Source organism: Homo sapiens, chromosome 6 (assembly GCF_000001405.40).
Source record: "Homo sapiens chromosome 6, GRCh38.p14 Primary Assembly".
NCBI lineage: Eukaryota > Metazoa > Chordata > Mammalia > Primates > Hominidae > Homo > Homo sapiens.
In genome coordinates this window covers 29864380-29878171 of record NC_000006.12, presented here as the reverse complement: position 1 = coordinate 29878171, position 13792 = coordinate 29864380, and the positions used below count along the sequence as shown (strand labels likewise).

At 46.3% G+C, this 13792-nt stretch overlaps 1 long non-coding RNA gene and 1 pseudogene across 1 annotated transcript; both read left to right on the top strand.

Moving 5' to 3' along the window:
- The first annotated feature begins 4388 nt into the window (after positions 1 to 4388).
- On the top strand, positions 4389 to 6277 carry HCP5B (HLA complex P5B). Its single transcript, NR_031762.2, has one exon. It is a non-coding gene; the product is annotated as an HLA complex P5B (long non-coding RNA).
- LOC353009 (HLA complex group 26 (non-protein coding) pseudogene) lies at positions 11085 to 12257 on the top strand (annotated as a pseudogene).

Here is a 13792-nt window from a genome sequence, read left to right as displayed (position 1 = left end):
TAATGTGATTTCTGATTCTTCATGGATGGTTCACTCCACACAGTTATTTAAAATTCTCACAATTTCATACAGATGAACAACTGATGACTTTATTTACCCAATTGCAAACAGCAGTTAGGAGTAGAATGCATCCTTTTTACATCACTCATATTAGGGCTCATACACCTCTTCCAGGACCTTTGACTGAAGGGAATCAAATGGCTGATTGCTTAGTTGCTACTGCAATATTTAATGCTAGACACTTTCACAATTTAACCCATGTTAATGCCTCTGGTCTCAAACGCAGATACAGCATTACCTGGAAAGAAGCTAAAGCTATTATCCAGCGATGCCCATCTTGCCAAATGGTACGTTCCTCATCTTTTACAGGAGGAGTTAATCCTTGAGGACTGGAATCTAACTCTGTTTGGCAAATGGATGTCACACATGTTCCCTGGCTTGGGAGACTAGCTTATGTACATGTATGTGTGGACACCTTTTCTCACTTTGTCTGGGCTACATGCCTAACAGGAGAGTCTTCTGCCTGTGTTAAACGTCATCTTTTGCAGTGTTTTGCAGTGATGGGCATTCCAGCTTCTATTATAACAGATAATGCCCAAGGCTCTACTAGCCAAGCTTTAGCTACATTTTTCTCTATGTGGACTATTAAACACATTACTGGTATCCCATGCAATTCTCAAGTACAAGCCATAGTGGAAAGAATGAATCTCTCCCTAAAACAGCAGTTGCAAAAGCAGAAAGGGAGAGACAGAGAATATGGAACCCCACAAATGCAACTGAACCTATCATTATTAACTTTAAATTTTTTGAGCCTGCCCAAAGGCCAGATGTTATCAGCAGCTGAACAGCATCTACAGAAATCAGCTGCAAAGACAGAAACAGAACAACTGATTTGGTGGAGAGATCCGATAACAAAAATTGGAAAATAGGTAAAATAATAACTTGGGGTAGGGGCTATGCTTGTATTTCTCCAGGCCAAAATCAACAGCCAATTTGGATACCATCAAGATACCTGAAACCTTATCATGAGCCAGATGCCAAGGAAGAGACTCCAGGAGGATCCCGAGGACCCCTCGGTTGCAGCCATGTTGAGACTGATGCTGAGGAGGACCCCAACTGTCATGAGCAACACCTGTCAAACACAGCCACCTACCTGGGGACAGATGAAGAAGCTGTCACAGATGGCAGAAGAAAACCTGAGGAAAGCAGGACAACCAGTCACAATGAATAATTTAATGGCAGCTATGATAGCGGTTATCACCACTGCCGTGAGTATTCCTTCAATAAGGGTTTGTAATAATGCCTGGATGCAATCACTCTATGACATGGTTACACATGCTTTCTGATCTCAGTATTTACCATAATAAATCTGCTCCTATAATTGAGGCATACCACCCTCAAAAACGTATTTGGAAACAAAATTGGACCCAGTTAGAAAAAATGAACATACTTGTTTAGGAAGATTGCTTTGCAGAACAGGCAGAGGTGCTGCACAATAATTCCTATGGAATCATTAATTGGTCCCCTAAGGGGATGTTTAGCTTGAATTGCACCTCTCAGTCTGCATGCCATGGTCACACTATATTCAGATGATCTGAACAAAATGGTCAGATGGTAGAAATGATAAGAAGTATGGCAAAAGTTCCTATTATCTGGAACCATGGCGGTATAGTGGCACCTCAACCTGAAATGATATGGCCCACTGTAGGAGCTTAACATAAGGATTTAAAATTAAAAGAAGAAATATGTAAAGCATCTCAGGAACACCTGAACTTAATGCCAGAAACTGGAGTGCTTAAAGGAGCTGCCGACAAATTAGCAGCTAGTAACCCATTAAAATGGATAAAAACACTTGGAAGCTCTGTGATTTCAATGATGACTGTGCTTTTAATCTATGTTGTTTGTCTTCATATAGTCTGCAGATGCAGATCCCGATTCCTGCAAGAAGTAGCTCACCGTGACAAAGCAGCCCTTGCTTTTATCTCCTTACAAATCAAAGAAGGGAGAGATGTTGGGAGCAAGCTCCCCAAAATCTGGCCATAAACTGGCCCCAAGACTGGCCATAAACAAAATCTCTGCAGCACTGTAACATGTTCATAATGGCCCTAGCGCCCAAGCTGGAAGGTTGCAGGTTTACGGGAATGAGGGCAAGGAACACCTGTCCTGCCCAGGGCGGAAAACTGCTTAAAGGCATTCTTAAGCCACAAACAATAGCATGAGCGATCTGTGTCTTAAGGGTGTGTTCCTGCTGCAGTTAACTAGCCCAATCTATTCCTTTAATTTGGCCCATCCCTTCGTTTCCTATAAGGGATACTTTTAGCTAATTTAATATCCATAGAAACAATGCTAATGACTGGTTTGCTGTTAATAAATATGTGGATAAATCTCTGTTCCGGGCTCTCAGCTCTGAAGGCTGTGAGACCCCTGATTTCCCACTTCACACCTCTATATTTCTGTGTGTGTGTCTTTAATTCCTCTAGCACCACTGGGTTAGGGTCTCCCTGACCGAGCTGGTCTCAGCAGGAGACTCCATCCTGAGTCTTCTGATACATATTCCTTTGTATTCCTTCAAAGATTTGTGCAATAAATATATATATATATATATCTCCCCAAAACAAACCTCAGTTAGTTTTGCTGGTTTTTAAGCTTCCTGTATAGCAAATTCCTACTGCATGTATTTTCCCATGATGCACATTATGTGTAGGAGTTATCTGTGGTGTGGGAGGCTGTCATTCATTCATTTTTACTGCTGAAGGCTTACATATCGTTTTACCACAATTTCACCAGTTTCCTATTGATGTACATGTGGCTGATTCCAGTTTTTGCCATAAATATTAGTGTGCATGTCTCCTGTGCACATAGGCAAGAAAGCCCCAAAGCTCCCAGAGTGGATGATTAGGAATGGGTTGGTTGCATGATACATTGTATGGACTTTAACCATACTAGATAATGATAATATGATTTCCAAAGTGATTGTGGCTACTTAAACTTTTACAATAAATGTGTAATACTTGATGTTGATGATGTGTTCTGAAAACACTGAGTTGAAGGAATTGTGTTAAAAGTCACTGTCTTGGTGGTAGAATTATAGCAAGCATTTTTATTCTGTTAATAACTTCCTGTTGTTTACTTGTTTCTCATATAAAAGACATTATGCTTTTGACAGATAGATTCAGAAAATGCTTACTTACAGCCCAATCACATAGGGTTATTTTATATGTTAGGAAAATTTTATAATAAAAAGGAAAAACTGGAGGAAGGGAGGGAAAGAAGGAGGAATGGAGGAAAAAGTGAAAGAAGAAAAGAAGGAAGGGGAAGGGGAAGGAAAGGGAGAAAGAAGGAGGGAAGGTGATAGGTTGAATGGAAATAGAGAAGAAAGAGAGAGAGGGAGGGCTAGAAGGAAGGAGAAAGGGAAGGAAGAGGCCAGGTGTGGTGGCTCATGCCTGTAATCCCAGCACTTTGGGAGGCTGAGGCAGGCAGAACATGAGGTCAGGAGATAGAGACCTTCCTGGCTAACATGGTGAAACCCCGTCTCTACTAAAAATACAAAAAAATTAGCTGGGCGTGGTGGCAGGTGCCTGTAGTCCCAGCTACTTGGGAAGCTGAGGCAGGAGAATGGCATGAACCCAGGAGGCAGAGCTTGCAGTGAGCTGAGATTGAGCCACTGCACTTTAGCCTGGGCGAGAGAGTGAGACTCCATCTCAAAAAAAAAAAAAAACAAAAAACAGAAGGAACAAAGGAGAAAAGAAACTAAAATAAAGAAAAGAATAGGTGTTAAGAAACTAGAAACCATATGTGTGGCTAATATTATCAAAATAGGAGAAAATAAAACAGATGTAGTTAACTTCTATAGAATAATGGAAATGTAAGAGGGCTTCATTAGTTATCCATTGCTTTGTGACAAACTACCCCCAAATTTAGTGATTAAACAACAAACATTGAGGAACTCAAAAGCATAATACAAATACCAGCAAAATGGAGCCAATGCAGGTAGAAGTTGAATAAACAAAAAGATTTTACACATTGGAATAAGCAAGAGGTCACTAGTGGGCAGATGAAAATGATTTTATAGTCCAAATGCTCCAAAAAGCAAGTTCCATCATGGGATTAAAGTTATAGCATTTTATTAGGGGACACACCTGTCAGGCGATATGGCAAGGGAGGTAGGTTACCCTGGGAAAGGCAACAAGATGCAAAGGTGATCCCCAGTGATGGACAGAAGGAGAGAAAGTTTACTGGATGTGCCCTAGACCACAGGCAATCTAAGGAGAGTTAAGCAAGGCCATGGAGGAGTCCTTGAGCTACAGTTGGCTATCAGAGGAGTCCCTGGTCTCCCAGGAATGTCCTGCTTTCGTGTCACTGGTGTGATCTGTCACTGGTTGGGAACAGCCCATTGGAAGCAGGGCCTCAGCACCAATGCTACTGAGGATGTCAGAGCACAGGAGCAGGGCCTTGGGAGATTACCCAGCATTACTCAAACCTTCTGCCCTGATGGGTCTGGGTCCTTGGAAATCAAGCTGTCTCAGGCTGAATTGCTGGATGATTCTGTTCACACTTACAATGAGGTAAGGGAAACCAGAAGGCCCCCAGGTCGATCTCTGGTTTCCACACACACTTCCGCCCTCATTGTGTGAAAGTAGCCATGCCTTCTCCTGAAGATGAGGATCTATTACCTGGGCCTGGAGAGGAGGAGAATCCTCTTTTCACCAGGTGGTCTCTGGGCACATACTAATCAAAACTTCTCTCGTGACAATCGGAATGTGTAGTTCAGTGGGCTGTCTTTTGTATCCTTTTAAGGGTACCCTCCTTGGAAACCAGGACCTCGTACCCTGCACAGCCCAGTGTTGGAAGATAAAACGTGCAAAATACCCCATTGGGTGAATCTAAGGGATTGGACGTGGAGCCAAACCTGCTTCCATCTTTTGATTCCTGGACACACATGTTCTTCCTATTGAGAACACAGCACTCTAGAGACATCTCTGATTCAAACAATGCACGGTGTCCTGAAAGACGGCACCCACCTCTCAGAGTGCTTCCTCCAGGCTGGCACTGAGTTTTGCCTGTAGAAGACCTGTCCAGCATTCCTTGTGGCTGGCAGCCTCTGGATGGTCCAGATGGTGATAGGATTAGTGGAACCCACAGCCATGGAAACACTGAAACTTTCCCAGCCAAGTGGGTCCTTCAGGCAGATAATGGGCTAGGAGCACCTCCTAGCCTGCAGATCAGGAATGTCAACAGCACCCGGAGAGTGGTGCTGGCTGAGTTTCTGAGAGCAGGACATGAAAACACCCATGGAATAGAAGCCTATCCCTGTGAAGATGAACCTCTGGCCCTTCCAGGATGGAAGTAGCTAAATGTAGTCAACTTGTTACTTAGTGGCTAGTTAGTCACCTAAAGAAATAGTGCCCCACTGGGGCACATCATGGGCCTCAATTGCTGATGAGTTGGACATTCAGAGGTGTCGACAGCTGGATCTGCCTTGGTAGGGGGGAGTCAGTGCTGTTGGCCCCATATGTAGCCTCATGCCTGCCACTGTGGTTGCTCCATTCATGAACTCATCCTACCAGACCAGGGCTGACCCATGGTGAAGGCTGGCTAACTTCCATTTGTCTGTTTGGTTGTTCAGTGCCACTTCAGACTTGGGTATTTTCTGTGGGTGTAAACATGGGATTCAAGCTCAACCCAGGTGGACCATTTTCACCTCATGATGGATGCTGTTGGGCCTGTCCAATCTATGACTCTGTGGGTCACACAGGCACTTGGAACCACATAGTTGCTTGGTGTCCCGTGGTCAAACATTCTATCTAATCAGGACAAGGGACACTAAAAGTTGCTTCTAATAGGTGGCATATGTCTCTGCTGTGAATGACATGACCTTACTCCAGAATCCCAGGCCTTTCACTGTGACTTTCCCACTGGTGCTTGGTTCAGCTCCATCCTGCATCTTTCCCCACCAATGGCATCACCAGCACCAGGGGGTCTGAGAGATGGTGGCTGCTTGCACCATGGCCTGGATCTGCTGCAGGGTCCTTTTCTGTGTGGGCCCCACTTGAAGCTGGCCTCCTCCTATGTCACCTAGAGTGTGGGCCAAAGCAACATACCTAGATGTGGAAAGTGGTGTTGTCAGAACTGAAAGAGGCTCATCAGGCAGTGTGCTTCCTTCTTTCTGGTGAGGATGCAAGATGAAACAGTTTGTCTGTTACCTTGGAGGGGACACACCTGCATTCCCCTAAACACTTGGCCATTGTTCACCCATAAAACTTTACTTCAATGCCCACTATTTTTTTCTTTTTGAGATGGAATTTTGCTCTTGTTGCCCACTCTGGAGTGCAATGGCACGATCTTGGCTCACTGCAATCTCTGCCTCCTGGGTTCAAGTGATTCTCCTGCCTCAGCCTCCCGAGTAGCTGGGATTACTGGCATGCGCCACCATGCCTGGATAATTTTGCATTTTTAGTAGAGACGGGGTCTCTCCGTGTTGGTTAGGCTAGTCTCCAACTCCCAACCTCAGGTGATCCACCCACCTCGGCCTTCCAAAGTGCTGGGATTACAGGCGTGAGCCACTGCGCCTGGCCGAGTGGCCACTCTTGAAGCTTTGTAAGGTTTATCTTCACCTTCTGGAGTGCCCTTGTTTTGCCAAGGACTACAGTGCACTTTCTACCTGCTGCTCATCCACCCAGGTCAACAGGAAGTTGTCAATGATATGAGCTGATTTAATATCCTATTGGATATCCAGTATGTCTAGTATAGTCTTAAGACTATACTATAGAGGTCAGGGGAGTTACAATAGCCCTGAGACAAATGATAAATCAATGTTTTGAGGATCCCACATGAATGTGAATCACTCCATATCCACTTTCTAATTGGAGTGGAAAGAAATGCAGTCACCAAATCCACAGCTGCATGCTCTGTGTCCAAGGGTTTATTAATCTGCTCTACCAGTGATATCCAGACAGCACAAAAGCTGCAATTATAACTCCTACTTGGCCAGACCTGGAGTAATCTAGTTCATTCTTTAGGCTTCATCAGGCTTCTTCAGGGACAGATTGCTGGATTACGTAGAGACAACAGACAGCCCCAACACCATCCCACATCCTTCAGCTCTGTAATGGTGATGTGACCCCCACAATACTTGAAGTGTCTTCCACAAGACCCACCCTGGGACACACTATGATTTTTGATTTGGCCAGGATGGGGGCAGTGTCAGAGGTTTCCCTTTGGCTTTCAGCACAATGAAAGTCCTTACTCCACAGACTAGGGACCCATTGTGGGGGTGACTCCACTTAGCAGTGCATCAGTGTCAATTATGCACTCAGGGTATAGGAAGATAATCAGGGCTGGGTGTATGGATCCAGTAGTTCCATTGTGGGCCATAATGTGTCCAGGTTTACTCCCTGACCTCCGTAAGCCCCACTGTGATGGGAGACATGATAGTGCTGTGGGCATCTGAGCATCAATGTCAGTTCACACCCAGTGTCAATAATCCCCCTAGTTCTGCCTGTTTCCTTTCCCCAGTGTACAACCTCCTGAGTAAATGGCTATATGTTTCTTTGCCGAAGGACTGAGGGAATTGTCCCAGCATATACTTCCACGGGGTTGCAGGGTATTCCGCCTAGAGATATGGACTCCTCCTCTGTCACTGAGATCTGAATCTGCATCTTGGCTGAGGTCTAGGCATTGAGGATGGGATCATGATTTTGTATTGGGTCAAACACCTTCACCCTCCTGCTTCTCAATTCTTGCTTTCTTATCATAGATATCAATCAGCTGCCTGTCCTAACCCTGGGACACCACCCTCTATTATCCTTCCCCACATTCCCTGCAGCTTGAGTCCTCTTGGCTTCTCCTCTGAGGTTGCCATAGTAACCGTGCCCTCTGGCTTTTGCAAGTCACTGCCACCACTTGGTCTTTGTCTCTTCAGGGCCACACTCTCCCCAGTAATATTAGAAATGAAACTCTGGGACTATCTTTACTACCATCACCCCCAGCCTACAAAGGACAATACCCCGTCACTTCTTAGTGATGCAGGTCCCTCTCACCATCAAGTTCCTGAGGCTCTGGTGGAAGGTGTGTCCTCTGGGCCCTCTTGTGGAGCATGGTTTTGGTAGGCCTTCACCAAGCCCACTCCCCTCAGCTTGTTATTCCATTCTCTACATGTTCCAGGGCAACTAAGACATGTCTACCTTGTTGAGAGTTGGGCATGTTTTTTTCTAGACTATGTGGATACATCCCAGCAGTGGGTTTATTCCACTTATCAAAGTCCTGGAGTGTTTGATAAATCCATGCCCTGAGAAAGTGTCTTCAAGCCAAAGGATTATATTCATCCAGACTGAAATTCTGGTTCCTTGATCAAACACCCTCAAATTCCAATCCCAGAAGTGGTCCCTGGGCTCCGATGGGGATGTGCTGGCTAGTTCCTACAAACCTCCTGAGTGGGATTCCCGTGGCATCATAGGGGTGAGGATTGTGTAGCATCTTCCAGCATTGAAAGTGGGAACCATTACTAGAGAAGGGTGAGCCTCCTCTGCATGCCCAGAAGATCCTGGAGGGCACCCATCGCATAATCCTGTTCCAGTTTGCAGAATCTCAGGTTTCCCCACCAAAGCCCTGACTTTCCTGTAACAGGCCTGCGTTGGTTGAGTGTCAAACATCTCTGGAGCACTGTGGCCCTCATAATGATGTTCAGCTACCATTCCTTGGTATCTGCCCTTTTGCTACAGGAGATAAAGACCTGCCCATGAGACACTGCCGAGGGTGTCAGATGTAGCCAGTCATAGCTGTCAACAATCCGCAGATTCTCATTATCCTTTTACACAGCATCGATGCAGCCGAGCAGTAACCAGCCAAAGCCACTGTCTTTGTAGGTTTCTTCCAACCCTGTCCTTATTATGCAGGGCATTCTATCACTGCATCTGCCATAGCACTCCCTAACCAAGGCAACTTCTCAGCTCAGCACTGGTGAGACCCCCAGCTGCTCAGCTGCACCTTGTGCCATGGACTTTCTGTGTCTGCCACCAACCCGGGTGGCATCCTCTTGGCCTGCCAGGCAGTGGGAAGCTTATTTCAAATTCCCATTTTTGCCTGTTTTCATGGATCACCCTTCATGCCACTTGTGTTAGTTAGGGTCCCCTGAGAAGCGGACCCCAATACAGTAGTAAACATGTAAGGATTTATTAGGGGAAATACTTGTGAGAGAAATTCATGAGATAGAAAATGCTGGGAAAGCCACTGGACCACAAAGCAACTCTGAGCCTCAGTGATGTAGAGAGTGCAGGAAGGTCAGCTGGAAGCATCCTAGACCCTGTGCAGGCTAAGGGAAGTTCAGTAAGGGTGGCAGGGAGCCCTGGAGCTTCAGTCAGCCTTCAGAAGAGAAATGTCCTGCCTTAGTTTCTGCCCTACTTTCCTCAATCATTGGCTGGAAAAAGCCAGGGGTGGGCATAGTCTCAGAGCAAATGTGGCAATAGATTTCAGACTTCAAGAGCTGGGGCCATCATCAATTCTGCTTCTTCTAGATGAGGGGCTGGGATGTGCATTCTCATGACTGCCACAATGATCCAGTGGGGAGAGAGGAAAAAGGTTGACGATAAAGATAAAAATGGTATTAATTGATGAACTGACACCTTTAAGTAGATGATAAGGGGTGGCAATTGGGGCACCAGAAGAGGGTCTGGCTCTGGCTGGGAGCAGAATGGTTAACCCACAACAGTCCGTCACATGGTAAAACGCCTGACATGTGGTGCAGTTGCAAATGCATGAGCAGACAGTGGTGGAATCTGTGAAGTTGTCTTCTAATGTGTTCAGTTTTCTCAGTGAAGTGGGAAGCAAGGTCATCAGCTGAAGTAAGAATGGGGAAGGCAGATTGGATGTGTGAGCACAAAGAAAAGGTATGGAAGAGTCACCCAGGCCAGGAGGAGGCTGAGGGTGAGCCATGCAGGGAGAGGGTGATTGCTGGCCATGGTAGAGACTTCCCATGTGGTTTGGAATCCTAAATTTTAAGAGACCAGTCAGCGTACTGTGTGCTTCTCTCCAGCCTCCTGCAGCTCATGGGGGCAGGCTCAGCATAGGCCGAGGTGGAACCCACCAGCTGTGTAGTTTTGCCAGGTGAGTGTGACAACTCAAGGGAGAGGGAAGGGAGGGATGGAAATTATTTACCATAGAATTCAAAATGGGTGAGGAGGGAGGACAGGACACCCAGGGTGAGGGACAGTGAGTAGATGGCAGGATCACTGGATTGGGAATCCCAGGAGGGTGGAACGATTGTTGGAATTGATGTACTACAGGGTAGACTCCAAGCGTGGAAAGCAAGCACATATGCGATGAGTGGTCCACTGATATTACATCACAGCATATGATAAAATGATAGTATCTGTGTCCTCAGAGCCTGTGGCCACCTTGCAAGGGGATGAGTGGAAAGATGGTCAGAGAGTGGGAAGTGTGAGTTGAGAGTATGGAAGGGCTGGGGTTCTTAGCCATGATGAGGCCTAGGGGATAACAAGGGCATGAGATTCAGGCAGACAGGAGAAGATCATGGAGGAGAGGAGTTCCAGGATCTGAGAGGCCAGGAAGCGAGGGCATCTTCTCTGCTGTGTGGGTGTCTATTGCTGCCATAAAAATTACCACAAACCAAATGGCTTTAAACAGCACCTATGTATCATGGCACAGTCGTGTGGATTGCAAGTCCACCCAGTCTCATGGGGCTAAGATCAACATACGGGAAGGTCTGCATTCCTTTCCATAGACTCTGGGGAAGAATCCACTTCCAAGCTCATTCAGGTTCTTGCCTGAATTCACTTCCTTGCAGATAGAAAAGAGGTTTCCACTTCCTTGTTAAGAGCCATCCTTAGCTCCTAGAGCCTTCTCTCAGATACTCACACATGGTGCCTAAGGCACATTCAATCCTCCTGCTTGGAACTTCTGACCTCCCCTCTCCAGCTTCTCCTCTGCCTTCCTCCTCTGCAGAATCTGACTCCAACCAGGGCAGGCTCTCTGCTTTTAATAGCTCTTGTGATTTGATTGGGCCCACACAGAGATTCCAGCAGAATCTCCCTATTTTAAGGTCCTTAATCTTCATTACATGAGTAATGTCCCTTTTGCCATGCAATGCAACCTGTTCACAGGTTCCAACGATTAAGACTGGACATCTTTGGGGACCATTACTCAGCCCACGACATCTGCGTATGTTGAAGTCACCAAGAGTCAAGGAGACAGCAATGCTGGAGAGGGTGACAGTGAACCAGGAGCTACAAGACTCAGGATTGAGAAGAACAGCCTGGGGCCCACAGGGAATGGTTACAGTGAGGCAAATGGGGCTCTAATCTGATGACAGCCTAGGGGTTTTAGGGAGGAGGGAGGCAGAAAGTTCTGAGAACCACAATGAGGAGCAAGGACCCCACCTCACCTCTGAACCCAGGGGTACAAGTCCCTGGGGAAACTCCCCCATGTGGGAGGACTTCGGAGGGGGTCATGTCCTCAGGGAGACCCAGGTTGCTGCTGGAGCTGTGAGATGCAGGAACATCCTGAGAGAGGCTGAGGAGGTTTTGCTGATGTGGACTGAGAAATCCAGGGGGTGCACTGGGAAGATTTCTGTGGCTGGGGAGGTCGGGGAGACAGAATAGAGGTGTGCAGAGCCTTGTGGGGATGCAAGTGCAGAGTATGTGGGGGACCCAGTGTGACTGACACAAACAGGGACAGAGCATGATGAGCTCAGTCCAGGTGCACTCCAGGCCGACGATGGTGCTGAGCCTGTGAGAGATGCGGGAGGAGGAGCAGGGGTGGCTTTCACCTGGGCTCTGTCCATGGAGGTGAGGACAGTGAGGTGGTTGGGTCTTAGTGCTGTGGGGAACTTTTCTTGACCTCCTGATGACTGGATGGAGTGTCTGAGGGAGGAGGGGTCTTACAGGATTGACTCATGACCCTGAGGGAGGGGATGTGCTCACTCCAGGTCTCAGGTCTGTCCTGACACCTTTATTTGTGGCTTAGAGCTCCCTACTGTAAATTATTGGGAGTTAGTTCATTTTGGAGTTTATAACTTAAAGCAGAAATTCAGATGGTTGAAATGTCATTTTCATGAACGTTTGTTATTAGTGTATCATTTAGATTGTCTTGCAAAAGTCTCATTTTTTTTCTAAAGGGTTGCCAATCTTGTTTTAAATTTACAAAGGTTGTTAATTTATCTTCACTGTTAATTGGTTGTGGGTTGTTTAAACTTATACTGTGTAGTTTTACATATCTGTAACAGCAGTAGTTTGGGCCTCTTATATTCTAATAATTAAGACTTTCAGCTGTGTACACACTGTAATTCAAGCACGAGTCATGCATAACCCTAGCACTAAGAGACAAGAGGGGAATCCCTCTCTCTGAAAATTTTGCAAAATTCTGGGTTCTTTTTCCACTGAGTGGGCACAAGTTGGCTAATCATGAACATGAGGTATTTGTCCTCATTTAAAGGTGCTTCAGAAGCACTGACCCCTAGGAAGGCCTCCTTGTCTGGGTCAGGCACCCTACACCATGGCAGAGGCCATCTTCCCTCCCAGTGTACAGTGATATCCCAGATAGCTTACTGGTTAGCTGCTGTCCACTCTTGGGCAGTTTTGTCTTCTAAAACATGGGTTTTTATCTGAGAATCTTCCTGTTCCCAGATGATCAAAACTGGGGCCATCCATTCCATTCTGAGCCACTTCTGCCCAGGGGCCCATGGCTATTTCCTCCAGTCACAACAGAACACCCCTTCAGAACAGCCTGCAGGAAGGCACCGTCTCCTCACAGGCTCACACATGCACGGTGTGTGCACAGAGCTTTTGCTCTAGTTCAGGAGGTGTGTAGGGAGCCTCACTAGTCCAACAGAGCCTGGTACCAGTGTCATATGCCAGGAACCAAGGTTATAAGGGATACCATGTCCCCAGACCTACCAGAGAAGGCAAACTCATACAGCTTGCAGGACCAGACAAGGACAAGAAACAAGTTCAAAAGAGGGAAAGGGAAACTACAGACGTACCTCAGAGATACTGCAGATTTGGTTTCAGACCATGGTAACAAACAAGTTACACAAATTTTTGTTTTTCCAGTACATATAAAAGTTATATTCACACTCTACTGTAGCCTAGTAAGTGTACAATAGCATTATGTATGAAAGAACTATGTACATACCTTAATTTAAAATTACTCTATTGCTAAAAAATGCTAACGGTCGTCTGAGGCTTCAGCTAATTTTAATCTTTTTGCTGGGGGAGGGTCTTGCCTCAATGTTGATGACTACCGGCTGTTCAAGAGGGTGGTTGCTAAAGGCTGCTGTGGCAATTTCTTAAAATAAGACAATGAAGTTTATGGCATGGATTATAAAGGGGGAATCAGTACTTAAGTAAGGTCAATATGAGTTTTCAAGTCAGGTGGACTTGAATATGAACCCTCCAGGCCTTTCCACCAACTAGCTATAGATCCTTGGGCACATCTGGCCCAGAGCTGGCCCCGACAGACACTTGCCCAGTGGGTGAGTGCTCAATGAACCCATCTGAGCCAATTGTCTCATCCAACCAGTGATATAATTCCTTCCTTGCAGAAGAATAAGTGAGAAAAGACACAGTGCCAAGAAATTCAGACACAAGACCTGCGGAAGTCTGTGCCAGTGCTCTAAAGCAAGTTCTGCCTAAAGCGGCAGAAACATTTTTCACATTAGGAACAGGAGTTGTTTGGGATCCTGTCTGGGGCCAGGTTGAGAGCAGAGTGGGAGTGGGGGCCTGGGCAGGACCAGGCACTGGAGTGAAGACAGGCCTGGAGAGAGCTGACTCCTGGAGGC